This window comes from Homo sapiens, chromosome 17 (genome assembly GCF_000001405.40).
Source record: "Homo sapiens chromosome 17, GRCh38.p14 Primary Assembly".
Lineage (NCBI taxonomy): Eukaryota > Metazoa > Chordata > Mammalia > Primates > Hominidae > Homo > Homo sapiens.
In genome coordinates this window covers 10,145,548-10,173,286 of record NC_000017.11, presented here as the reverse complement: position 1 = coordinate 10,173,286, position 27,739 = coordinate 10,145,548, and the positions used below count along the sequence as shown (strand labels likewise).

The following is a 27,739-nucleotide window of genomic DNA, read 5'->3' as shown; positions in this document are numbered from 1 at the left end:
ACATTCACAGTGTTATACAGCCACCACCATTATCCAGTTCCAGAAGTTTCATCATCCCGAAAGTAACCCATACTCATTAAGCAGCCACTCCCCATTCTCCTCCCTTCGCCCGCCCCCAGCATCAGGCGACCACTCATCTGTTTTCTGGTTCTATGCATCTGCCTATTCTAGGTGTTTCACAGAAATGGAATCAGAATGGGTGGACTTCGTATTTGGTTTATTTCCGTTGACATGATGTCTTCAGGGTTCATTTGCGTAGTGACGTGTATCAGTACTTCATTGCTTTTCATGACTGAATAATACTCCATTGCATGGATATACCACATTTGTTTATCCATCCATCAGTTGATGGACACTTGGCTAGTTCCCATGTTTTGGCTGTTGTGAATAACACCATCCACTTCTTTTTCTGGTCTTCAGTTCTGCCTCCAGATGCTGAATCTTTAGTCTTTTGTTGAGACTGCATGGGTTACTGGCAATGGAAAAGGCACTTGAGAAATAAGAAGGTAGGCAGTGAGGGGCTCTGGCTACAAAGCGCTTCATTAAAGTCTGTCAAGCCTTAGTTTGCTCATTTCCTAAATGGGTGTAAAATTCCCTGCCTTGCTTACTCAGCCCTGCAGAATGTTGTAAGAGGCGCAAGCCACAGAATGTGAGGTTAAGCCCTTCCTAAGCTATAAAGTCAGATGTCAAGTGATAGTTCTGTATGTTCCTCATTTTTTCTTTGATTGTCTCCCTTTCTGTTTCTTTTTTTTTCTTCTTCTTTTTTTTTAATCTGCTTCCTCATTTCTCCTTTTGCTAATTGCTCCATTTGAATTCTGTTTTCCTTTCTTCTTTCCTCTGCTTTCAGCTGGCCTGGGGGCAAAGTTGAGAGCAATACAGAGTGTTATGCACAGTGCTGTGCTGGAGGTGAACAAGATGATTGGCTGCCCCCTGGGGAATCCTTGGGCAGGGCCGGACATGCGGCAGAGGAAGGAGGTTAGCTGCACTGGCTGGTGGGTGATGAGGTGAAGTCAACCAGGACTGGACCTGAGGAGTGGAATGAGGGCTGCCATGGCAGGCCATCCTATCTGGCTTAGATTTAGAGACTTCTTTTACACATAGCTTTGAGGTCTTTTGCAGTCCAGGAAGTAGCCAGATTGATGGGTAGTTAGGCAGATATTAGAATCCAAACAAGCAGACCCGAGGGACACTTAGGGGAAAGCAGCAGATGGAGGTGTATGCTTTTCTTAGTATGTTGCTTTTGCGAATGCTAGATCATCCGCTGTCCTGTGTGTGCTGTTTTCCCAGCTGAACTTGAAGCTTCTTGAAGACAAAAGTGATGACAGTCTTTTATTTTTGTGCTTGCTCCTGGTGCCCCTCAGAGAGTTCTGAACTTAAGTGGCATTTCCTGTGTGTGTTGAAACGTCACTTGTTTAGTCCTATAGCGGTTACAGAGGGCTTTCATGCAGGATTTCTCATGTAATCTTATCAACAGCCTGGCGAGGTGGATTCCATTTCTCAGATAAAGGCTCAGAGAGGTCAAAGAATTTGCTCAGGACACACAACCAATCAGAGGTTTCAACACTGCTTAGGACCAGCGTTCTTCACTGCTTCACCCGTCCCTTACACGGACTGCCTGGTTTTTATGGCAGATAAGAAGCATGTGGCTGTGATTATTTAGGGAGATGGGAAATGAATCCTTATGCATTTGGATCTTGTTCATTTTCGAGATTTCTTCCCCCTAGCGTCTTAGAATTTTCAAGTCCAAAAGAAGTTCTGTAAAAGTTGCAGGTGGTCTTTCCTATTACTCAAGCACTGTAGATTCCTTTTGTCTCAACAAACTTCAGAGACGCTTCAAGGGAAGCCGATTTCCTGCTAAATTGATGTGTTCCTCATTTGTTACCCGAAGACCTGATTTAAGGAGCTATTCTTGGTGACAGGCAGGGAGCCAGCTGTGAATGGGGTTCTGGGTTCGCTGTCAGAGCCCTGCTTGGACCAAGTTACTCAAAAGTCTGGCTCTGACTGGGTCTGGCAGGAGGGGCTGGTGTGTTGGAGTAAGCGAGCTTGGGGAAAGCTTGCCCGGAGGAAATTCGGTCAAGATGTTCAGTTTTAACACCTCTGGGTTTCTTCCAAACCAAAAGAGGAAAAGATTCTGACTGAAGGGATGAAGGAAGTTTTAGGATTTTCCATGAATGGAACTCAGAGCTTGAGGGATCCTGGATTCTTTGCGGCTCAAGTGAAGCTACAGAGAGAGAAATGGTGCCTGGGAGTTAGGAGGACTTTTGCCCTTGGCTGGGACTTAGGCAAATTGCTGAGCTTAGAAGACAATTGATCCCAGTGGTTCGCTGGCTCAGCCACAGAAAGTGCCAGCTGGCCTTTGAGTTGTTCAGGGATCTGTGATGGTATTTATGTGTGGCAGAGGGATACTTCTAAGCTCAGAGACCACCTCCGAGGTGACAGAGCTGCTGGGCAGAAGATGTAAGTTTAAAAGGCCACTTTCTTTCTCATTGGAACCTTTCAGCAGATTAACAAGATACGGGGCTCATTCACTGAACAAACGCTCGTTCAGTGCCAGCCGTGTGCAGGGCACAACCTGGAAAGTAGGAGATGTAGTAGTAGTAAAACCACAGACATCCTGACTTTATAGAGTTTACATTTTAGTTAGGGGTGACAGATAGCAAGGAAAACTAAGCAAACTGCATGGTGATCTAGAAAATGTGTCATTTTAAATGGGATGGGCAGAGAAGGTCTCATTAGGAGAGGGCATCTGTGCAAAGCCCTGGAAGATACGATGGAGTAAGCACGTGGATTGCTGAGAGAAGAGCATTCCAGCCAGAAAACAGAACAGCATGTGCAAAGGCCCTGAGGCCAGAGCATTCCTGGAGTGGTCAGGGAACAGCAAGGAGGTCAGTGTGGCTGGGGCAGAGTGAGTGTGTGTGGTGTGGGGAGTGTTGGAGATGGGGACAGAGAGGTGACCAGACTGAGGGGTGGGTGGGGCCAAAGCACGAGGGCTTTTGAGACCCTCACAAGGATCTGACATTTACCCTGAGTGTCAGGGGAGCCATTGAGCAGAGGAGTGACTTGAGCCAGCTGGATGTTTACAAGGATCACTCTGCTGCTCTCTTGGGAATGAATGATGGGGGGATGGAGGGGGGAGCAGAGGGTAGAAGGAGGGAGACAAGTAAGGTGGTTATTGCAGTAATATAAGCAAGAGCTGATGCTGGCTGTGACATGGCTGTCACCACTGGATTTTGGATGTATTTTGAGAGCGAGACCAATGGGATTTGGTAATGGGTTGCACGTATAAGGTTTGAGAGAGAACTCAAAGCGAGTTTCAAGGTTTTTGGCATAAGCAAATGGGAGGAAGGAGCTGGTTTGAAATGAGAAGGTGAGGAACGGAAGCAGCAGGTTTGGGGAGGAAATCAAGAGTTAAGTTTGAGATTCCTATATATGTTCAAGTAATGATAGTGAGTAGGCATTTGGAAAGAGGACTCTTAATTCAAGGTAGGTATAAATTTGAAGTCGTTATGGCGTAGATAGTCTTCAAGCCGCTGTACTGGATGAGATCACCTAAGGAGTGGGGTGGATGGAGAAGAGGTCTGGGGATGGGGCCTGGAGGCACCCCAAATTAAGAGGACTGGGCAGAGCAAGCCAACTGTAAAGGAGAAGGAGCAACCAAAGAGTGGGCGGAAAACCAGGAAACCAGACAGTTCTCCCTGGGTTCAGTGAAGGCAGCCATGGAGTCATCGGGACATTGACCTTATCTGCAGCTCTCAAGGAATGGAAAACCATCAGGGACCATCTGAGATATGGTCAAAGCCTCAGGGATGACGCACCCTTCCTGGTGTTGTTAGCATCTGTTTCATTACAAACAGCATAAACTGTAGCATGGCTGTGTTTGCCTGTCCGTAACCCCACCCAGACTTCACTGGCAGGCTTAACCCACAAGAAGTTTTAGGGAAGGAGGTACTGTCTACAAGGTTTTACATTGTGCTGAGTGTAAATGTGAACTTTTAAAATTATTAATTAATTTTTTTTTTTGAGTCGAAGTCTTGCTCTTGTTGCCCAGGCTGGAGTGCAATGACATGATCTTGGCTCACTGCAACTTCTGCCTCCTGGGTTCAAGTGATTCTCCTGCTTCAGAGTAGCGGGGATTACAGGTGCGCGCCACCATGCCTGGCTATTTTGTATTTTTAGTAGAGACAGGGTTTCACCATGTTGGCCAGGCTGATCTCAAACTCCTGACATTGTGATCTGCCTGCCTCGGCCTCCCAAAGTGCTGGATTACAGGCGTGAGCCACTGCACCTGGCCTAATTACTAATTTTTTTTTTTTTTTTGAGATGGAGTCTCACTCTGTCGCCCACGCTGGAGTGCAGTGGCGTGATCTCGGCTCACTGCAAGCTCTGCCTCCCATGTTCAAGTGATTCTCCTGTCTCAGCCTCCCAAGTAGCTGGGATTACAGGTGCATGCCACCATGCCTGGCTAATTTTGTATTTTTAGTAGAGATGGTGTTTCACCATGTTGGCCAGGCTGGTCTCAAACTCCTGACCTTGTGATCCGCCCGCCTCAGCCTCCCAAAGTGCTGGGATTACAGGCATGAGCCACCGTGCCCAGCCTAATTATTAATTTTTTAACCACACAATTAATATACAAATTAGACCATACATCCTCACTAGGGGCAATATCACCCTGCAGGGGGAAGAAATGGGTTCTGAGGTGCTAACAACATCCTAGGGCCTACAGCGGTTTGTGGCTCTCCAGCGGTCCACAGTACGTAAACAGACATACAGCCTGACTGTGGTATTAAAATTTCATGGTAGTGGGGGAGTGATTAGGAAAGAAATATCTTAAAAGGCTCCTTAGAGAGGGCAGTAATGAAAAAAGGTTGAAAAACCCAGAATTATTCTAAAGCCACCTTCAACTACTTCCCTAGGCCTCTGTGGAAAGATACTCTGATGATTTGTGGGTTTAGTTCTTTTAAATAAAGAAAACCAAGCTATTATTTCTTAACTTCTTTTTTTTCTCACTTGATAATGTATCTTGAAGTTATTTTTTTTTGTTAGCACATATACATCAGTGGTTATTTATAAAAACTGTGTGGTATTCTATAGTATGGATGTAGCATACTTTATTTTCCGTTCCTTAGTTGATGGATATTTAAAGTGCTTCTAATTTTTTCTTTTTGCTATTAAAAGTACCATGGCAAAGAATTGAGCCTGTAATCCCAGCTGCTTGGAAGCTGAGAGGTGGGAGTACCTTGAGCCCAGAAGTTAGAGTCCATCAACCTGGGCAACATGATGTAGTGAGAGGCCAGGTGCAGAGGCTCACACCTGTAATCCCAGCACTCTGGGAGGCTGAGGTGGGCAGGTGGCTTGAGCCCAGGAGTTCAAGACCAGCCTGCGCAACATGACAAAATCCCGTCTCTACAAAAAATACAAATGTCAGCCAGGCATGGTGGTGCATGCCTGTAGTCCCAGCTACTCGGGAGGCCCAGGTGGGAGGATCACCTGAGCCCAGAAGGTGTCGGCTCCTGTGGGCTGTGATTGTGCCGCTGCACTCCAGCCTGGGTGACAGAGCGAGACCTTGTCTCAAAACAAAACATATTGAGACCCTGTCTCTAAAAAAAGACACAGAAAAAAAAAGAAAAAAAAGACCTTCGCAATGTTTGCACAAGTGCCTGTGTTCGATGACTCTTCTCAAAGGTGGCAGAAGAAGATGACATGCTTGGTTATAGGGCCAATGCCCTCTAAACAGGTTGAAATCTTACGAAGGGGATATGAGCCAAGCCACCATCTCACCCCAGGCTCAGTAACCGGCCCTTACAGCCCAGCCCATTCTCTCCTTAATCTTTTTGACACCCACGTGAGGTTTATATTTTTTTCATGTCCTACTCTAGCTATGAGAAAACCGAAGTTTACAGATATAACTTTAAACAAGTTAGAAATAGACAAGCGGAGGCTGGGCGTGGTGGCTCATGCCTGTAATCCCAGCACTCTGGGAGGCGGATGGATCACCTGAGGTCAGGAGTTCGAGAACAGCCTGACCAACATGGAGAAACCCTGTCTCTACTAAAAACACAAAATTAGCCGGGCGTGGTGGTGCATGCCTGTAATCCCAGCTACTCGGGAGGCTGAGGCAGGAGGATCGCTTGAACCCAGGCGGTGGAGGTTGCGGTGAGCCGAGATCACACCATTGCACTCCAGCCTGGGCAACGAGAGTGAAACTCTGTCTCAAAAAAAAAAAAAAAAAAAAAAAAAAAAAAGACAAATGGAAATAGTAGATTGGTTTAGTCAAGTTAGAAATAACTAGAAGGCCACATGGCAGGTAGTGGCAGAGTGAAGTCCCAGAGCAGGGTCTCCACCCATCAGCTCGTGAAAGGACAAGTGATAGACTTTTGGGGATCTCTGGAGCCTTTGATCGAATGTGCCTGCGGGGGCTGTCCCAAGGCCTAGCTCATGGAAACGTAGGTCCTGGCTTTATCAATATGCTGGTCTTTTTAAATCAGTTATGAGTTCCTTATTTTGCAAACACAAGAGTGCTTGAAATTGTTTTTATCATCTTGTATTTTCACTGACTAAGCAGAATAGGGAAAATTTTTACTTAAAAAATTAGTTCATAGTAAGTAAAGGCTGCAAAATACCATGTATAACAAAATTCCAAATTTGTAAAACCAACAACGACAAAATGTGTGTGTGCACATAAAAGAAAGTCTGGAGGAAGATTCATTGAGAGGTTAATGATGGTTTAGTTTCTTGTTTGGATTTTCTGTGGTCAGAAGAATGTAATACATTATAAAAGGAAAGCATCAATACATATTTCATTGAAAAGCTAAAGGAAGAAAACTAGAGAAAGTGAAGGATATTTTCCTAACTTGGTATTTGCAAACTCTGATGCCTGTTTATCAAATTGGAGTTCTCCTTGGGAGTGAGTTGAAGGAGGTCCCTTGGGGCCCCCATCCCCTGGAAAGGAGCTGGTGTGGAAAGTCACCTGGTGTGGTGACTCACGCCTGCAATCTCACCACTTTGGGAGGCTGAAGTGGTAGGATTGCTTAGGCCAGGAGTTCGAGACCAGCCTGGGCAACGTAGTGAGACCCTGTCTCTACTAAAAATTAAAAAATTAGCTGGGCATGGTGATGTGTGCCTGTAGTCCCAGCCACTTGGGAGGCTGAGGCAGGAGGATCTCTTGAAGCTCAGGAGCTTGAGGCTGCAGTGAGCTAGGATTGCCCCACTGCCCTTCAGCCTGGATGACAGAGTGAGACCTTGTCTCTAACAAAAGAAAAAGAAAAAAAAAAAAAAGAAAAAGAAAAAGAAAGCCAGGAGTCCTGGGTTCCTGGTGCCTTTTGCTCTGAGACCTCTGCGAGGCCGACCAAGGACAGAATGACCTTCCTGTGTAATAGGGAGGCATCCTGAGGCCTGGGTGGGACCCTCTGGGTGTTGCCTTTGGATGGGGCAAGGTGAAAGGATGTCTGAATCAGTGCACACAAGTGTCCCGTTTCCAGATCCTGAGAGCCACTGGCTTTCCTCCAGGGGAGCCTCAAGTCTCATGCCCCCTTGGGAGCTGCAGGGTGGGAGGCTGGAGTAGGGGAGCCTCTATATAGGAGGGGTAAGTATGGTGTAAAAATGCAAGCAGTGGGTCCTCTGCTTACATTTACTTTGGGGGTGCAGTTTTATTTTAAAATGTCCAGAGGGAAAAGAAAGGCTTGACTTTTTAAAGACACTCTTGGCAAAAGCCAATGTTTTTCAACCATTGGACGAAGCTTGCCTGCCTAATGAGCAATCTGTAGAAATTGATGCATAAAAGGCATTGCTAAGTAAAGAAGAGGAGGTAGAGATCGATGAGGGCACCAAGCTGGTGCCACAAGAACTCCTTAGTCAAGTTGAAACAAAAGCTCCCATAGCAGCACATGTGCTAGGCTCCTTTTCTGTTTGAGAAGCAGCAAGATGAAATCATGGTACATCTCTAGGGCATGAAGAGTTAAACTTTTCTTTTGTTTTCTTTTTTTTTTTTTTTTTTTTGAGAAGGAATCTCGCTCTGTCGCACAGGCTGGAGTGCAGTGGTGTGATTTCTGCTCACTGCAAGCTCTGCCTCCCGGGTTCACGTCATTCTCCTGCCTCAGGGTCCCGAGTAGCTGGGACTACAGGCACCCGCCACCACACCCAGCTATTTTTTTTTTTTTTGTATTTTTTAGTAGAGACGGGGTTTCACTGTGTTAGCCAGGATGATCTCGATCTCCTGACCTTGTGATCCGCCTGCCTCAGCTTCCCAAAGTGCTGGGACTACAGGCGCTCGCCACCACGCCCAGCTAATTTTTTGTATTTTTAGTAGAGACGAGGTTTCACCATGTTGGCCAGGCTGGTCTCGAACTCCTGACCTCAGGTGATCCGCCTGCCTTGGCCTCCCACAGTGCTGGGATTACAGGCGTGAGCCACTGCGCCCAGCCTTTTTTTTTTTTTTTTTTCCTTTTTTCATTATTATTTTTAGAGACAGGATCTCACCATGTTGCCCAGTCTTGTCTTGAACTCCTGGACTCAAGCAATCCTTCTGCTTCAGTCTCCCAAAGTGCTGAGATTATAGGTGTGAGCCATTATGTCTGGCTTCTTTTTCTTTTCTTTTTTTTTTCATTTTTAAAGAGAGATGAGGTTTTGCTATGTTGCCCAAATTGGAGTGCAGCGGCTATTCACAGGTATGATCATGGCTCACTGCCACCTTGAACTCCTAGGCTCAAGCAGTCCTCCTCCTGCTCAGCCTCCCTAGTAGCTTGGACTATAGGTTCACACCACCACACCTGGCTAGTTAAACCTTTTCTAGGACAATTTTCTCTGAAGAGAAAGTCCAGTCATGGCCATATTTCTTTTTTTTTTTTTTTGAGACAGAGTCTCACTTTGTCGCTAGGCTGGAGTGCAGTGGCGTGAACTCGGCTCACTGCAACCTCTGCCTCCCGGGTTCAAGCGATTCTCCTGCCTCAGCCTCCTGAGTAGCTGGGACTACAAGCGCGCACCACCAAGCCCCGCTAATTTTTGTATTTTTAGTAGAAATGGGGTTTCACCACGTTTGCCAGGGATGGTCTCGATCTCTTGACCTTGTGATCTGCCCGCCTCGGCCTCCCAAAGTGCTGGGATTATAGACGTGAGCCACCGCGCCCAGTCCATGGCCATATTCCTAATCCTGGCTGCACAGTGCAAAATTAACGGGGCAGGGAGGCCCAGACCACAGCCAGACTGATGACGTCAGACCAGGTGAAGCTCCCCAGGTGACTGTAAGGGGCAGTCAAAGGTGAGAAACTGAGAAATCTGAGCTGGGGCCTCATGGGAGCCTGGGGGATTGTTAATGACAGCTGTCATGTCCCAAGCGGTTTCTTTGCACCAGACAGTGTGCTAATAAGTGAGCACGTTATCTGCGTTCTCTAATGTAATCCTCACTCCATGAGCAAAGTGCTTTGAATTTGTTCATTTGACAGGTGAGGACTGGAGTAACTGACCTAAGGGCACCCAGATAGAAAGAGGTATGTATCCCAGGTCTCTGTAACTCAACATGAGCTCTAACCCTCAGGGTAAAGCCGCCCCATGGGGAAAGTCTTGGGGGCTTGCTGGGAGAATGGGAATGCCAAGGATGGATTGGAACCAAGAGCTTGTCAGCACTCAAAGTATGGCCCTATCCCCCAACCCAGGTGGAAGAGCTGAGGTAAGATGCAGGAGTGATAAAGAACAGACAATATTCAGGAGGTACTAATTTAAAATATGTTAGATGCCTTTTTATTTCTTTCAACTTTAATCTGTATTTCTCTCTCAAGCATTTTTGTAGCCAGATATTTTGATTTCTTTAAATCTTATTCCAATCTATGTTTCCCTTTCTTTTTTTTTTTTTTAAATTAAAAATTTTTTGGCCCAGCCTGGTGGCTCGTGCCTGTAATCCCAACACTTTGGGAGGCCGAGGCAAGCGGATCACTGGAGGTCAGGAGTTCCAAAACCAGCCTGGCCAACATGGTGAAACCACTCCCCCGCACCCCGTCTCTACTAAAAAAATACAAAAATTAGCGGGCGTGTTGGCGCATGCCTGTAATCCCAGCTCCTCAGGAGGCTGAGGCAGGAGAATAGCTCGAACCCGGGAGGCAGAGGTTGCAGTGAGCCGAGATCACGCGACTGCAGTCCAGCCTGGGTGACAGAGTAAGACCCAGTCTCTACAAAGAAAAATAATTTTTTTTTCTTTGTAGAGACAGGGTTTCTGAGCCATCGTGTCTGGCCTGTTTCTAAAATATTTTTTTGTTGTCCTTTTTACATTTATTTTTTAAACTATGATAAATCACATATAACAAAATTTACCATCTTAACCATTGGAAGTCTATAGTTCAGTATTAAGCACATCACATTGTTGTACAGCCTTCACCATGATTTAGCCCCAGAGCCTTTTTCATTTTGCAAAACTGAAACTCTGAACCCAGTAAACAGTCACTCCCCATTCCCTCTCCCCGCCAGCCCCTGGTAACTCCATTGTCCTTTCTATCTCTATGAATTTGACTATACTAGGGACCTCATATAATTGGAATCATATACTTCCCCTCGTGTGATGGGCTTATTTAGCTTAGCATTTGAACATTTTTAATAGGCAACTAATTTCTGCTCTTCTTTTATGACAAGTTATTGATTCATAGAAAAATATGGACTGATCAGATGTGGCTGTTTTTTCTCACTTAATACATCTCTGGAAACTTAACACAGTAAATAGCCAGTGACATGAAAAGATCAAACTTTTAAAAAGTGACTCGTGGAGCAAACTGGGACTTCGGCAATCCCTTGGTATTTTTTTCCTTCTTTAAAAAAATCAAAAGATACAAGCTCCCCCAGAGTGCTTGTCAAGAATGAGTGGGAGGGGGGACCCAGGAAACTTGAAGGATACATTAAATTCTTTAAATAAATTCAGGAAGTAACATCCAGGAGTGGTTCACACCATTCATAAAATATACAGCTCCCTCCTAGAGAGAGAGGATTCAGTGTGATGTTTTTCCCCCTGAAATAAGCCCGCCCAGCTTCTCAGCACAGACTGTGTGATTCTTACACTGGGCAGCGCTGCTTCTTCAGGCCGGGCTGTCAGAGCAGGGACAATCCCAAGCCAAGTCACTGCTTTCAGTTTATCTCAGAGGGACCAGCATGTGCCTGGGCGATATTAGCACCTTCAGACTGGGAGCCTTCGGAAGGGTTCTGCCAGCATTCTGGGAAGGCGATTTTTTTTTTTTTTTTTTTTTTGAGATGGAGTCTTGCTCTGTCGCCCAGGCTGGAGTGCAGTGGCACAATCTCGGCTCACTGCAGGCTCCGCCTCCCGGGTTCACGCCATTCTCCTGCCTCAGCCTCCTGAGTAGCTGGAAATACAGGCGCCCGCCACCACGCCTGGCTAATTTTTTGTATGTTTTTTAGTAGAGACGGGGTTTCACCGCGTTAACCAGGATGGTCTCGATCTCCTGACCTCATGATCCGCCCGCCTCGGCCTCCCAAAATGCTGGGATTACACGCATGAGCCACCGCACCCGGCCTGGGAAGGCGTTTTTGTAAGGCAGATTGGCAACTGGACATTTGCATTTGGCTTCATCATCCATCATTGTATGTTTTTTGGCTTGGGCTGGAGGGCATATTTGATTTAAATGTAATAGTTAATGACTGAGTGGAACAACTGAGATCTGTCAAGATTAACTGTTGAGCAGTCAGCTGAAATGTGTGGGAATGTGAGTCTGCAGGAAGCTCAAGTTCAAAGTCTGCGACCTTCCTTTCCCGTTGACATGGTAAAATCCTGTTACAGTGCTCGAGTCAGAGGACAAGATGGCACCTACTGTAGTGGATATTTGTGGTCTGTTGTCTCTGATTCTCCTTCTTCTGGTAACGACACTTCCATTTTTCTTTGGGGAACCACAGATGCAGTGGGTTCATTGGAAAATGAGTGAACTATTGGTTGGAGCTGGTTTGAGTTTGGTTAGAACCAGGCCTCTCCTAAATCCCTCTCACTACAGTGAACCAGAAATGGACATGTCACCCAAGCTGGGTTCATGAGCTTCTTCCCTCCCTAGGACCTTTTGCTGTATAGTTTGGCAAAGAAATGCTTTCTTCCCCTGGGGTTGTTAAAGCTAGGAAGATTATAAACTTGGAGCTGCCATGACCATCTTTGGTAATACTTGGGAAGCACCTGAGAATGAAGCTAGCAAAAAACAAACAAAAACCGCAAACAAACAAACAAAACGGAGCCGCGACCCTTGTTCAAGTGCTTGGATCCATCTGCAACTGAAGGCCAGACACTCTTGAACTTCCAAGTTATATGAGCCAATAAATACTGCCATGCCTTCGTCTGTGTGTGTGTGTGTGTGTGTGTGTGTGTGTGTGTGTGTATGGTTTCAATTTCTATGGCTTCCAACTTACTGCATCCTGTCAAAAACAGCCATATTATGACCAGGTGTGGTGGCTCATGCCAGCAGTTCCCGCTACTTGGGAGGCTGAGGTAGGAGGATTGCTTGAGGCCAGGAGTTTGAGGTTTTAGTGTTTTATGATTTTGCCTGTGTGAAGCCACTGCTATTCAGCCTAGGCAACATAGTGAGACCCATCCCTGAAATAAACGACAAGCAAAGCACATACTTCCTTAACTTTCTATATTATAGTTAGAGGAAAATGTCATATTGCGCACCTGTGATGTGATCTGCCTGGTGGCAAGGGTGAGCCCAGGCAGTCATGGTGAGATTACAGAGGTTTGGTATGCCGTGGAGAGACCACTAGACAGGGAGCTGGGATTCACAGGCTCTAGGTGCCTTTCTTCTTCCTGGCTAGGTAACCTGGGCAAGTCTCTTAAGCTTTCTCAGCCTCAGCTCTCAACATCTGTAAAACAGAGGAATTAAACTAGGTGATCTTCGAAGTCGCTTTTAGCTCTATATGGTCCTGTAACTGTTTTATTTAATATCTGTGTTTTAAATGGGCAGTAGAAATAGGGACAAAATCAAAGAGAAACAATTAAAAATACCCCCTAGATCTCTACGAATTGCTTGAAGATCCACCTTTTTTTTTAATACAATTTTTAGTGTAAATTTTTTAAGTTGAAGTGTAACCTACATACAGAAGAACGGTCATACCTGGCCAGACAGGGTCGCTCATGCCTGTAATCCCAGCACCTTGGGAGGCTGAGGTGGGTGGATCGCTTGAGCTCAGGAGTTCAAGACCAGCCTGGGCAATATGGGGAAACCCTGTCCCTACAAGAAATTAGCTAGGTGTGGTGGCACGCACCTGTAGTGCCAGCTACTCAGGAGGCTGAGGTGGTTGGATTACTTGAGCTCAGGAGTTCAAGACCAGCCTGGGCAATATGGGGAAACCCTGTCTCTACAAAAAAATTAGCTAGGTGTGGTGGCATGCACCTGTAGTCCCAGCTACTCAGGAGACTGAGGTGGGAGGATCACTTGAGCCTGGGAGGCAGAGGTTGCAGGGAGCCAAGATCGTGCCACTGCACTTCAGCCTGGGCGACAGAGTGAGACACTGTCTCAAAAAAAAAAAAAAAAAGGTCACACTTCATGTGTATAGTTTGATGCGTTTTCATAAACTGGGAACACTCTTGTAATGAGCATCTACGTCAGACACGGAACTTACCCAGGACCTAAGAAACCTTCTCTCCAAGTCAGTACTCTCTTCCAAAGGTGACCCCGATCTTGACTTCTAGATTGTGTAATAATTTTGCTTGGTTTTAAATTTTACATAAACTGAGCATAGAGAAGTTATTCTTTTTGGTGATGGAGGTTGGGGGGGGTGCATCTGGCTTTTCTCACTTAACACCTTGTTTGTGAGATTCACCTATATTATGGGTGGCAGTAGTTCATTCTCATTGCTGTGTAGTGTGTCACCCTATGAATAAATACACCATCAATTATTTATCCTACTCTTGGATCTTTGGGTTCTTTCATACTATTATGAACAGTGCTACCTTGAACATTCTCGTACATGTTTTTGGTGGACGAAAGCTCTCATTTGTGTTGGGTATTCACCTAGGGGTAGGATTGCTAGGTCATAGAATATGTGTATCATATGTTTACTCTTGGGAAATACTACCAAATAGTGTTCCACTCCCACTGGCACTGTCTGTGACTTCTCATAGTTCTACATCCTTGTCTGTGTGTGCCATTGCTGGTTTTACAGATTTTAGTCATTTGGGTGAACGTGTAGGGGTCTCACATTGTGCGTGTGTGTTATCTTTAATATATATATATATATATATATATATATATATGTTTTAGAGACAGTGTCTCACTCTGTTGTCCACGCTGGAGTGCAGTGGTGTGATCTTGGCTCACTGCAGCCTCCACTTCCTGGGCTCAGGTGATGATCCTCTCACCTCAGCCTCCCGAGTATCTGGGACTACATGTGCATGCCACCATGCCCAGCTAATATTTTGTATTTTTTAGAAGAGATGAGGTTTCACCATGTTGCCCAGGCTGATCTTGAACTCCTCAGCTCAAATGATCCTCCCACCTTGGCCTCCCAAGGTGCTGAGATTACAGGTGTGCCCCACTGTGCTTGGCCTCTTTACCTTTTTAATTAGCAATTTTTCAGAATTTTATTATGAAAAATTTGAAGAGTTGCAAGAATTACAGTGCACACTTATATACCCATCATCAGATTCCGCCATTAACATTTTCTTATACTTGTTTTATTGCATATCTAACCTTCTATCCTTCCATCAATCGTATTTTTTTGGAAACATTTCAAAGTAAGTTGAGAACAGCAGTATACTTCATTCTAAGGAGTTCAGTATACAGAGCATTAACTTACATACAGTGTAATGCACATATCTTTTTTTATTTTTCTTTTTATAGAGGTGGGATCTTGCTATGTTACCCAGGCTGGTCTTGAACTCCTGGCCTCAAGTGACTCTCCTACCTCGGCCTCCCAAAGTGTTGGGATTACAGATGCGAGCCCCCTGCACCTGGCCTTGTTTTTTTTTTTTTTTTTTTTTTTTACCAAAAAAAGAAAAAACAGGATTGGCCGGGTGCGGTGGCTCACGCCTGTAATCCCAGCGCTTTGGGAGGCCGAGGTGGGTGGATCACAAGGTCAGGAGATCGAGACCATCCTGGCTAACACGGTGAAACCCCGTCTCTACTAAAAAAATACAAAAAAATTAGCCAGGTGTGGTGGCGGACGCCTGTAGACCCAGCTACTAGGGAGGCTGAGGCAGGAGGATGGCATCAACCTGGGAGGCAGAGCTTGCAGTGAGCCGAGATTGTGCCGCTGCACTCCAGCCTGGGTGACAGAGCGAGACTCCGTCTCAAAAAATAAAAATAAAATAAAATAACAGGATTTTGTTCTGTTGCCTAGGCTGGAGCGCAGTGGTACGATCATAGCTCACTGGAACCTCAATCTCCTGGGCTCAAGCAATCCTCCCATCCCAGCCTCCTAGAGTAGCTGGGACTGCAGGTGGATACCACCATGTCCAGCCTACGAGTACCTATATGCTTACTGGCCATCTGGGTTTCACATGTGTGTGAAATTGTGTGTGTCTAAGGGTGATATGCCTAAGGGTGATATGTCTAAGGGTGGCTTTTAAATTTTTTGCGGGGAGGGTGAAGAGTCCAGTTGACTGACGGGAGGACCAAGGGTATATTCATGTGACAAACCTGGTTCCAAAGTGTCTACTATTAACTGGAAGCAGATTCTCACACCTACAAGGCTTCCCAGTGTCAGGAGCCAGGAAATGCTGGTTTGTTAAAACTCAGCCCAAAATTGGGCAGAGCAGTGAAATTTCCAAGCATGATGCTCAAAGCCTTATCTTCTAATCATTTCCAGTTATGTAACTTTTTTTTCCAACGAGTGTCAGTCTAGCAGGATAACACAAAATCATTAGCAGATTTATAAAGCGGTTTGACCAACGGCTGCCAGAGGAAGTGTGACTTTGAGTTCCCCACGTAGGCGTCAGACTTGTCTTCATATTGAAAGGCAGGGGAGTTGGTGCAAAGAAGGGTGTTCCCGGGGGCAGTTGACAGTAATGGATCTTTAAAAAAATTATTCCCCTCGTCAGCTCCAAGGTTGGCAGGCCTTGCACTTCAGGGTGTCAGGCCCTGTCCCCAGCCCCTTTCCTAGGCTGAGGACTCTGGGTTTGCTGCGGGTTTGTAAGCCGTGGGTGTTTCCTCCTTCTCCCAGGGGTCCCATGTGTCAAATCCTGTGACTGGGCATGTGTGGCCTTGTCATGATGCATGGGTCTGTGTCCGGGGAGGAGCAGGGCCACCCACATCCTCATTTGGCTTTCTGTTTCTTCTCAGATGTCATTTTGTGAAGGAGCCACCGACCAAGGCCTGGTTAGGAGGAAGTGGTCACCAAAATACTTTGGTGTCCAGGGCTTGCAGAGAGCTTGTCCTCAGTGGCTGTGTCTGAACTCCACTATTGAGGGTGCCTGGAGGGGGATCTTGATTGGGAAGGCAGTGGGGAGTTTGAAGGAGGGGCTGTTTATAGAGGCTTGAGCAGGGTAGAGGATGGGGAAGCACGCCCAGAGAGGGGAAAAGGGAGGGAGGCCTGCAGCAGGAGGGGGCCGACTGCTCTAAAGAAGCCACTGCTACTCCCAACCCCAGCCTGCAGCCTGCAGCCTGCTAGGAGGGAACTGGTGAAAATACCCCAACCTCGCTTTCCTCATGAACCTTCATCTCCTACCTATGACTTTCAGTGGCCAAATTGTCTTTCACTGTAGCCAGAGGGTGCGAGGGTCCCTGGAGTCCCTGTGGGTCAGCCTTCTGGTGCAGGAGCTGCAGGAGAAGGGCCAAAGCTAGCTCCCGACAGGCAAGTGGAGAGTCACCAGCCCAGAGATGTTTCTAGAGCTTTGTCCCATGTTAAAACACAAAATTATTTGCTCTGGGAGAATATATTTAAAACTTCTCTTGACGAGTTTGGAAGAGAGCTTTGGCCTAGGAACTGATCTGAAATTAAATGCAGACATATGGGGTGGGGGATCTTGTTCATAAAGATCCTCCTCCTGCCTGGCTTGAGTCAAGAAACAGGCGAAGGGCACCCATGGCTGTGGCATGGAGGGCTAGGACAACAGAGACACTTTGCAGGAACATGGGTTTAGGAGGTGGAATGCCAGAATGGGCTCCCCAGGGTAGAGGTTTGGAGAAATCTGCTTACGAAGGAAATATTATCAAGGACCAAAAAAGTGATGGAAAGAGAGGGACATTGTGGCGGAGCTAAGGATGGGTGGAGCAAGAAGAAAAAGTCAGAGTTGGGAAAGAAGCTAGGTCGGAGTTAGAGAATCTCGTCTCTAGGCTGGGGCAATGGAACAAGTAAGGAAGTCAGTTGCATGGTTGGAAGAGAATGTATTCCCTTCGAACCTGACTCTTGGTGAGGGTTGCTCATCCATGCCTGTGTGGCATAGTGGTTCAGAGAGTGCGGGGTGTCAATGCCAGCTGTACTACTTACTAGCTGTGAGTCCCTGGGCAGATTACATAACCTTTCTGTATCTCAGATTTCTCATCTGGAAATAGGACCATTATAATACATGTCTCTTAGGGTTATTTTAAGGATCAAATGAGTAAATACAGGTAAAACTTTAAACCACTGCTGTATATTTAACCCTTAGGGTCTCCGACACTGTCATGAAGGCTGCCTCTGAACAGGAGAGGACTGAGTGGACCAGTTTTGGGATGGGAGTGGGAGGACCAGAAGAATGGTACCGCCAGGGAAGAGAAAATGGGAGGGAGGCCATGGTCTAAATTGATCCCTGACATAGCGGTGGGAAATGAGCCAAGGAAACTGGCTTGAACTAGCTTCTATTTGGAGGCTGGCCATTTGCTGCAGAGACAGTTATTTGAAGCTCACGAGTCATTCACACATTATTACAAATACTTTTATGAGGACCTTTGGTTTCTGAATAGGGCAGAGCTGGGGGTGAGCCTGAAAACATGGCTATCAGAAGGAAGAGTCTTGGGAGAAGGGAAGTGGAGGGAGAGGAATTGTTTTTACTTTAATATTTCTTGTCTTAAAAAGAGTTATTGGTGGCCGGGCACGGTGGCTCACACCTGTAATCCCAGCACTTTGGGAGGCCGAGATGGGTGGATCACCTGAGGTCAGGAGTTCGAGACCAGCCTGGCCAACATGGTGAAACCCCATCTCTACTTAAAATACAAAAAATTAGCTGGGTGTGTTGGTACGCACCTGTAATCCCAGGTACTCGGGAGGCTGAGACAGGAGAATCGCTTGAACCCGGGAGGCGGAGGTCGCAGTGAGCCGAGATCGTGCCACTGCACTCCAGACTGGGGGACAAGAGTGAGACTTTGTCTCAAAAAAAAAAAAAGAGTTATTGGTTTAGTAGGATTTAGGGATGGAGGTTCCCATGCAGACTGTGGACATGGGTTTTGTGTGTGTGTGTGTGTGTGTGTGTGTGTGTGTGTGTGTGTGTAGCCTGGGGTTGGGGATTGGGGTAATGGTAGCTCCACCTTTATGAAGCGTTTCTCCAGGACACACTTTTCCTGAACACAGTGCAGTGAGCACCACTTTTCACCTATAGTGAAGGTGTTTTCTAGCTGGCTGGGGAGCATCACCCATAGACAGCATGATACAGTTGTTAAGAGCACAGGGAAACCAGTGGGTTTGGACTGAGTTTTGAATCTCTGCTCAGTCACTCTGTTTTTCTTTCTTTCTTTTTGAAAAATAGAGATGGGCGGTTGGGCGGCAGTCTCACTATACTGCCCTGGCTGGTCTCAAACTCCTGGCCTCAAGTGATCCTCTGGCCTCAGCCTCCCAAAGTGATGGGATTACAAGCGTCAGCCACTATGCCTGGCCTGTGAATTTTTTTTTTTTGTTTTTCTTGAGACAAGGCCTCACCCTGTCATCTAAGCTGGAGTGCAGTGGCATGATCACTGCTAACTGCAGTCTCGACCTCCTGGGTTCAAGCAATCCTCCCACCTTGGCCTCCTGAGTAGCTGAGACCACAGATGTTTGCTACCATGCCTGGCTAAATTTTTAATTTTATTTCTTGTAGAGACAAGGTCTCTCTATGTTGCCCAGGCTGGTCTTAAACTCCTGAGCTCAAGTGATCCTCCTGCCTCGGCCTCCCAAACTGTCTGGATTACAGGCATGAGCCATCAGACCCAGTTTGGCCTGTGTGAATTTTTAATATGTATATTTTAATATATATTTTAATCAAAGACTACAGTTAACCAGCATTTATATTCTATTTGCCAAAAAGGCAAGAGTCTCAGCATATTTTTACTTTCCTTTCTATCTTTTCTCTACCATGTCCCATGATGAAATTATTTGGAATTATAGATCCAGATTACATTATTATTGTGTTTATTACCTCAAACTCCTGGGCTCAAGCAGTCCTCCTGCCTCAACCTTCCAAGTAGCTGGGACTACAGGTGCATACCACCACACCCAGCTAAATTACATTTTAAAACTTGTTGTTTTTATAGAGATGAATCTTTTTATGTTGCCCAGGCCGGTCTTGAACTCCAGGCCTCAAGTGATCCTCCCATCTTGGCCTCCCAAAATGCTGGGATTACAGGCATGAGCCACCTCACCTGGCCTGCTTGGTCACTCTGACCTGCAGGAAGTTGCTCAAACCTTTTGGTACATCAATTTCCTCATCTGTAAAATGGGCATGATAGTGGGACTTATTTCATAAAATAGGAAAAGTAAATGAATGATTTAATACATGTAAATAATTTAAAAGAACAATACTAATTTAAAAAACATTATTATTTTATTCTTCTACTCATTTCTTACGGATTCCTTCTGTTCCAGCCAGTCAGGCTTCAGGTTTCTCATTGATTTCTTTTTTTTTTTTTTTTTGTGAGTCAAAGAGTCTCACTCTGTCACCCAGGCTGGAGTGCAGTGGCATGATCTCAGCTCACTGCAACCTGTGCCCCCTGGGTACAAGCAATTCTCCTGCCTCAGCCTCCCAAGTAGCTGGGTTACAGGCACCCGCCACCACACCCGGCTAATTTTTGTATTTTTAGTAGAGATGGGGTTTCACCATATTGGCCAGGCTGGTCTCTTGGCCAGGCTGGTCTTGAATTCCTGACCTCGTGATCTGCCTACCTCGGGCTCCCAAAGTGCTGGGATTACAGGCGTGAGCCACCACGCCCAGTGTTTTTTTTTTGAGACGGAGGCTTGCCGTGTCACCTGGGCTGGAGTGTAATGGCGTGATCTTGGCTCAGTGTAACCTCCTCCTCCTGGGTTCAAGCAATTCTCCTGCCTAAGCTACCCTGAGTAGCTGGGATTACAGGTGCCCGCCACTATGCCCAGCTAATTTTTTTTTTTTTTTTTTTTTGTATTTTTAGTGGGGATGGGGTTTTACCATGTTGGTCAGGCTGGTCTCAAATTCCTGACCTCAGATAATCCACCCGCCTCCCAAAGTGCTGGGTATTACAGGTGTGAGCCACTGTGCCCAGCCAGGTTTCTCATTGATTTCTGAAGAAGTGTAAGAAATGGCCACGCACCTACCCTTGCTTGGCCTGTCTGGCCCTCCTCACCATCTCCCTGCATCCTGCAAAGTCCTCCTCTAGAAACTCTTGCTCATCTTCAGCTCTCAGGGCCTTGTCTTCCTTGGGAGGAGGCACCTAAGCGGCACCTGCACATGCCACCCTGAATTGACAGATTGGAGCATTTATGTTAATATAGAGAGGCCTTGAAGGCTGCGTCTCCTCCTCTGCCATCTTGCTCTCCACCGTCATGTTTAACATGGCCCCTTGCACACGGCAGCAGTGGACGAGGCACTGGACTGGGGGAATGTCTATCTGGAGTCACATCTTGGCTGTGTGACCTTGAATGAGTCACTCGGTCTAGGTGGGTCTCCTTTTGTCATGTGTGAAATTAAGCTAAGTACTGGGAACTCTAAGGGTTAAGAGCTAATGCACGCACAGTCAATTCTTCACTGGGAAGTGATGCTTTACAAAGTCAAGGTATTGTGATGAATCCTTCTGTGTTCCGCCTGCATGCCTTAGACGGTGCTGAGCACAGAATCGTTCCTCAATAAGATTCTCTTGGGGAGTCGATTGCTGACTAAAGTGGATTGGTACAGCTTCTGTTTTGATCTGCCTGTCATAATGTTCTATCTCCCATCTTTTCGGGGAACTTCCCTATTCTCACCCCGCCATGTGACTTTGGTGGGGCTTGTCAACCAAGATACGTTGCTAAGTTGGGAGGAAGTTACCAGTGGCTCTCTAGTTGGGGCAGAGTCCACCTACACGTGACAGCCAGTCAGAGGTGAGAGAAGATGTCCTGTAGACATTGTGTGAGTCCCTGGAACCAGGCATCACTGAACTCCAGTGATGCATGCTGATAAATCCTCCTTTGTGTTGGCTTAAACTTGTGGATTGGATTTCTGCCACTGGCAACTGAAAGTCCTGGCTCTCTTTTCCTTCCATTTTGGAATGCAGCAGTGATTCTCTCTCTTCTTCCATTAACAAAGGGAAACTGAAAGGGTGTCAGAAGTAAAAGTCAAAACTGGAAAACTTTATTTAGGTTGGGTTATGGTGGCTCGTGCTTGTAATCCTAGCACTTTGGGAGGCCGAGGCAGGAGGAGCGCTTGAAGCCAGGAGTTCAAGACTAGCTTGGGCAACATTAGGGAAACCCTTTCTCTGTAAAAAATAAAAAAAGTAGCTGGGCATGGTGGTGTACACCTGTAGCCCTAGCTATTCAGGAGGCTTAGGTGGGAGACTCACTTGAGCCAAGGATGTCAAGGTTGCAGTGAGCCATGATCATGCCATTGCACTCCAGCCTGGATGACAGAGTGAGGCCCTATCTGTAAATAAATAGATAGATGGTAGGTAGGTACGTAGATTGATGATAGACTCTTATAATCACATTAAATGCTGTCATTAAATGACGTAGAATAATATTTAATAACAAGATAAAATATCACCAAGAAAAATGAACATGTGACAGTTTTGTTAGAAAACAGTATTGTTAGAAAACAATACTTAAAAGAGGCTTCATCTGAGCTTCATCAGTGACAAGTATTTAAAAAAAAAACAAAAACAAAAACAAGCAAACGAAACCCTTTAACTTGGTATGTTGGCCTGTGCCTATAGTCCCAGCTACTAGCAGGGCTGAGGCAGGAGAACCACTTGAGCCCAGGAGTTTGAAATCAGCTTGGGCAACAGAGCAAGACCCCATCTCTAAAAAAAAATAACCAAACTTAAAAAAAGAAGAAGTCTGACATCTGGAAATATGCTTTTAAGTCAGGTCCAGGGAACCTCAGAACCAGCCTCAGTTCACAGGCTTCTACTTTTTTGTAGAGCACTTGCTGGGTGTCAAGCTTTGTTCTATTCTTTTTAATCCTAACAACAACTTCATGCGTTAGGTTCTACTATTGTCCCCATTTTACAGGTGGGGAAACTGAGGCACAGAAGTAAAGTGACTTGCTCACTTATGGTCACACCATGATGATGCCTGGATTGAATGAAATTTAACAGCCTTGGCCAGGTGCGGTGGCTCACGCCTGTAATCCCAGCAGCTTGGGAGGCCGAGGTGGGTGGAGCATTTTAGGTCAGGAGTTCGAGACCAGCCTGGCCAACATGGTGAAACCCTGTCTGTATTAAAAATATAAAATTAGCTGGGCGGTAGTGATGCATGCCTGTAATCCCAGCTACTCGGGAGGCTGAGGCAGGAGAATTGCTTGAGCCTGTGAGGCAGAGGTTGCAGTGAGCCGAGATCGTGCCACTGCACTCCAGTCTGGGCAAGAGAGTGAGACCCTGTCTAAAAAAAAAAAAAAAAGAAATGTAACAGCCTCATTACTGAGTCCAGATGACTCCAATTTGCTGCCTCTCATAGGTGTTCATTCAACAACTTCTATAGGCAAGGAGAAAAGTTACATTTCAAAAGCCCACTACCTTCACTGTATCCATTTACACTTTGTGTGTGTGTGTGTGTGTGTGTGTGTGTGTGTGTGTACTTAACCAGTTGAGAGAAAGAAAGAAAGAGAAGAAAAGGAGAGGAAGAAAAGGAAAGAGTCAAAGGGGAATGGGCGGAAGGGAGAAAGGAAAACGGAAAGTTGAAGTGTGCAAGAGAGTGCCTGGGGTTTGAGGTTGGAGGTCAGATGAAATCAACGTAAATGTCACAACCACACTTCCTCTTGGGAGTTGGTGAATGAGTCATCACCTGGTATGCTGCCCTTTTAATTCCTGATTAGTTGGTTAACCACTATTTCTAGGTCTTTAAAAAATAGTTAATATTTTTTTCTTTATTGAGATGTTATTCACATAACGTAAAACTCAGCTCTCTACAGTATACAGTTCAGTGGTTTATAGTATATTCACTGTGTAGTATTCTAATATATTCACTAACTGCAGAACACTTCCATCACCTCAGAAAGAAACCCCTTCCCTGTTAGCTGTCACTCCCCATTCACCCCATCTCCTTACCCCTAACAACCAACAACTACTAATCGATTTCTGTCTCTGTGGATTTGCCTATTCTAGGCATTTCATAGAAACAGAATAATGTTACATGATATCTGGCCTTTTGTGTCTGGCTTATTTCACTTAGTGTAATGTTTTCGAGGTTTATCTGTATTGTAACATGCATCAGCACTTCATTCCTTTTCATGGCTGAATAATATTCCATTATCCCGATATGCCACGTTTTACCTGTCCATCAGTGGATGGACATGTGAATTGGTTATACTTTCTAGCTATTGTGAATAATGCTGTGACAAACATTGGTGTACAAGTTTTTTTGTGGGACATGTTTTCAGTTCTCTTGGGTCTCTAGCTAGGAGTGGAATTACTAGATTGTATGAGGACTCTGTGCTTAATAAAGAACTGCCAAACTGTTTCTACCTCTTTTCCACCTCTAATCCTCAAATGGAATTGATGGAAAGTCACAAAAATATAAGTTGGTTTTTGTGTTCTTCGGCTGCAGTATCCTAAAATTCTATAAGGTGAGATATGTTATTTCAAAATGGGGCCGGGCGCGGTGGCTCACGTCTGTAATCCCAGCACTTTGGGAGGCCAAGGCGGGTGGATCAACTGAGGTCAGGAGTTTGGGACCAGCCTGGCTAATGTGGCAAAACCCTGTCTCTACTAAAAATACAAAAATTAGTTGGGCATGGTGGCGGGCACCTGTAATCCCAGCTACTCTGTAGGCTCAGGCAGCAGAATCGCTTAAACCCAGGAGATGAAGGTTGAAGTGAGCCAAGATCGCACCACTGCACTCCAGTCTGGGTGATAGAGCAAGACTCTGTTTCAAAATAAATGAATAAATAAAACAAAATAAATACATAAAAATGAACAAAAATGGATCCTCTTCTATTTAGGCTGACATGCCTTGCAGCAACCTTCTGGAGCAGGAAGATGGTTTATTGGATCATATGGGCCAGGGTTCTCCATCATTTATTCATCATCCAGTTGACCTGATACCGTTCTGTTCAAGAGAGGATTCTTTTTTTTTTTTTTTTTGAGGCGGAGTCTTTCTCTGTCGCCCAGGTTGGAGTGCAGTGACACCATCTCTGCTCACTGCAAGCTCCGCCTCCCAGGTTCATGCCATTCTCCTGCCTCAGCCTCCGGAGTAGCTGGGACTGCAGGCACCCGCCACCATGCCCAGCTAATTCTTGTATTTTTAGTAGAGATGGGGTTTCACCGTGTTAGCCAGGATGGTCTCGATCTCCTGACCTCGTGATCCGCCCACCTCAGCCTCCCAGAGTGCTGGGATTACAGGCGTGAGCCACCGCGCCTGGCCTTTTTTTTTTTTTTTCTTGAGTGTTTCTCTGTTGCCCAGGCTGGAGTGCAGTGGTGCAATCTTGGCTCACTGCAACCTCCGCCTCCCGGGTTCGAGTAATTCTCCTGTCTCAGCCTCCAGAGTAGCTGGGACTACAGGCATGCACCACCACGCCTGGCTAATTTTTTTTTTTTTTGTAATTTTAGTAGAGACGGGGTTTCACCATATTGGCCATGCTGGTCTTGATCTCCTGACCTTGTGATCCACCCACCATGACCTCCCAAAGTGCTGGGATTGCAGGTGTGAGCCGCTGCGTCTGGCTCTTAACTGAGAGAGGATTCTTAACCAGCAGCAAACAGTTATCCAAGGGATGCAGGTGAAGAAAGGTCTAGGTTAACCGAAACCAACGAGGCAGCTTTTCACCCCACAAAAATAACCTCCAACACCAGAACACAACCAAGAAACATAAAAGTGCAAAAAAACTGTGTTCTTTTTTTGACTCCCTCTTTCTCAAGCTCCTAAATCAAAAATGCCTGTGCTAGCCAATAATTGATGTTCACGTGTGCTTTATGATTTTTCAGGTGCTCTCACATGAGATACATGATCGGCTCTCACAGCAGCTCCTTGAGCTCCAACAAGCAGTTACTATTTCCATCATCTTGATTTTTCAGCTGGGGACATGGGAGGTTCAGAATTTGTGATTTGCGGCCAGGTTAGGAAGTGGCAGTTGGTAAAAGACAGACTTGGCATTCAGACCTTTTGACTTGGAGTTCTGTACTCTTTTTATTATGAGCTCTTGGCAGTGTTCACACCGTTTTAAAAAATCTAGATAAAGGTACTCTGATTTTTTCCCCCAAGATTCACATTAATAGAGTTTGAGCTTGGCTTTGGGAAGCTTCGATAAACATCATATTTGGATCTTTGGCATGAGAGAGAAATGCCGTGTTGTACCCTTGATCCCAACACGTGTGTACAAGCCCACTTGCCCAGTATATTTTTACAAGTGTATTTTCTGTGTTCATGCATGTGAGGTTTCTTAGCCCCCTTGGCTGATCTAAAAGCCTTACTTTTGAGCTGTAAGAGGCAATATTAGGATGTTCCTGTTATTTTGAGTAGCTAGTAAATTCCAGACTGGTGGAGAGGCTCAGCTGTGGGCTCAAAAACCGTTTACAGAAACTTTGAGGATGTTTCCTTTTGTCTGCGTATTTTAGAAATCAGCTTAATTGAGGTTGTCTGAGCATTTTTGTAAATTTCAGAGAGGCAGTTGTGTATTATACTTCGCTGTGATTAAACACGCAGACACATACACGCCACCCTCTGCCCCCACCCAAGCCCCACTGCTGGCTTTGCCTGGAAGTATGAAAACACCTATTTGTTTATTCAAAAGCCATAAACCAGGCACACAGTGGAATATGTGCAAGTATGTTGAACAAAGTACTTTTCAGTGCTTAAAAGCTAATTGAGTAGGTATGGATCAGTAGTTTGTAATTAACATATTAAAAAAAATGGCAAACCATGTGACTAAGCATTTGAAGAGGGCTTTTGGCTTCTTTCTTGCTTACTGTAATTCTTGACTTAATAGGTAAATCTCAATTTCGAATGCCCACAGGAGTACAGATTCAGAGACAGTAGGTCCTAAATGAAGGAATTTTTATTGTCTAACTACAGGAAGACAGAGATCGTTTTTTTTATGAGACGGAGTCTCGCTCTGGCGCGATCTCAGCTCACTACAAACTCCGCCTCCCGGGTTTATGCCATTCTGCCTCAGCCTCCCGAGTAGCTGGGACTACAGGCACCCGCCACCACGCCCGGCTAATTTTTTGTATTTTTAGTAGAGATGGGGTTTCACCGTGTTAGCCAGGATGGTCTCGATCTCTTGACCTCGTGATCCGCCCGCCTCGGCCTCCCAAAGTGCTGGGATTACAGGTGTGAGCCACCGCGCCCGGCCAGAGATCTTTACGCTGTTAACCCTTGAGCATGGTTTAGCCTGTTTCATACTGAGGTGGTCAGTTTTGAAAGCGTCCAAGCTGAGAGAGCATCACAGTCTCCTGGAGGGAGTGTTTAAACCCTGATTGCTGGGCCTCCTCCCAGAGCTGCTGGTTCAGTAGGTTTGGAGTGGGGCTTGAACAACTGTACTTCTGGCAAGTTCCCAGGTGATTCTGGTGCTGCTGGTCTGTGGTCCACACTAAGTGGCGAGGCTCTGGAGGATTCACTCCCTGACTCTTGCGGGGACTTTGCCTTGTAAAGAAAGATGTGAAATGCAGTCATAATTGGGAAAACTTGGCCAGGACTTGCTCTCCAGGGCTGTCTTTGAGTGAGACATCTTTTCTAGGGTTGCCCCGGGAAGAAGGTGGGTTTGATGGACTGGTTGGGCACACTGGGCTATAAAAAGTGAAAACATTCCATTTCTTATCTGCGCCTTCAATTTAATACTAGTTTTGGGCCCAGATACCTCAAAGTTCTGGGATTATCTAACTTGGTTCTGTGGAAGTTCAGGGTGCCTTGGTGCTCGATGTGGACAGTTTTACCCCCGAGTTTGGGGAGAACCAGATGCTTCCTCTGCCTTCTTGCATGTGTGTGGATGCCTTTTCTGGATTTGTCCTCTGTAGCCACCATTCTCTCAAGGTCCATCAGCGCAGGACCTGATCCATGACAAGGGTCTGCTGGTTCAGAGGGCCTGGGCCTCACCCTCTGGAACCCTCCCACGAAGATCCTGGCTTTGGGACTACGGGGGCAAGTTCTCATTGTTGAGATGGTTGTTCTTGCTCCCACAAAAACAAAATAATGAGCCATTCCACTTCATTGAACTCCAGGGTTACTGCCCTTAGAGAGCTGGGAGGTGTCTCTCATTTCTGGGGGGGTCTTAGAATATATTGCTGTTTCCCCCTTCCCTCAGTTGACTCCTGGGCCATCTGCCCTGGCCCCTAAAGCCCACCTCCCCCACCTGGCCCAGCTATACTGTCCGTTCAGCAGCAAGCGTGGTTGTATCCCTGGCAGAAACAGCGGAACTGCCAATGCCCCCTGAACCCATGCCAGGATTGGGGCACAGATCCGGCTGCTGCTGCTGCAGGAACTCAGAACTTGGTCCTGGGGGGCCTGAGTG

At 46.1% G+C, this 27,739-nt stretch overlaps 1 protein-coding gene across 1 annotated transcript in view, besides 3 other annotated features; it reads left to right on the top strand.

Moving 5' to 3' along the window:
• GAS7 (growth arrest specific 7) overlaps positions 1 to 27,739 on the top strand; it is a 288,001-nt gene that overhangs the window by 25,320 nt on the left and 234,942 nt on the right. The window lies entirely within an intron of this gene.
• Positions 812 to 1,637: an enhancer, noted in NCBI's record as "H3K27ac-H3K4me1 hESC enhancer chr17:10074967-10075792 (GRCh37/hg19 assembly coordinates)". NCBI's record gives its function as "activates a minimal SCP1, AML or CMV promoter by ChIP-STARR-seq in naive H9 embryonic stem cells {active_cell/tissue: H9 hESC(naive)}" and the evidence as "EXISTENCE:reporter gene assay evidence [ECO:0000049][PMID:30033119]".
• Positions 1,638 to 2,464: an enhancer, noted in NCBI's record as "H3K27ac-H3K4me1 hESC enhancer chr17:10074140-10074966 (GRCh37/hg19 assembly coordinates)". NCBI's record gives its function as "activates a minimal SCP1, AML or CMV promoter by ChIP-STARR-seq in naive H9 embryonic stem cells {active_cell/tissue: H9 hESC(naive)}" and the evidence as "EXISTENCE:reporter gene assay evidence [ECO:0000049][PMID:30033119]".
• Positions 15,909 to 16,128: an enhancer, noted in NCBI's record as "active region_11730". NCBI's record gives its function as "activates an Ori minimal core promoter by ATAC-STARR-seq in GM12878 lymphoblastoid cells {active_cell/tissue: GM12878}" and the evidence as "EXISTENCE:reporter gene assay evidence [ECO:0000049][PMID:35858748]".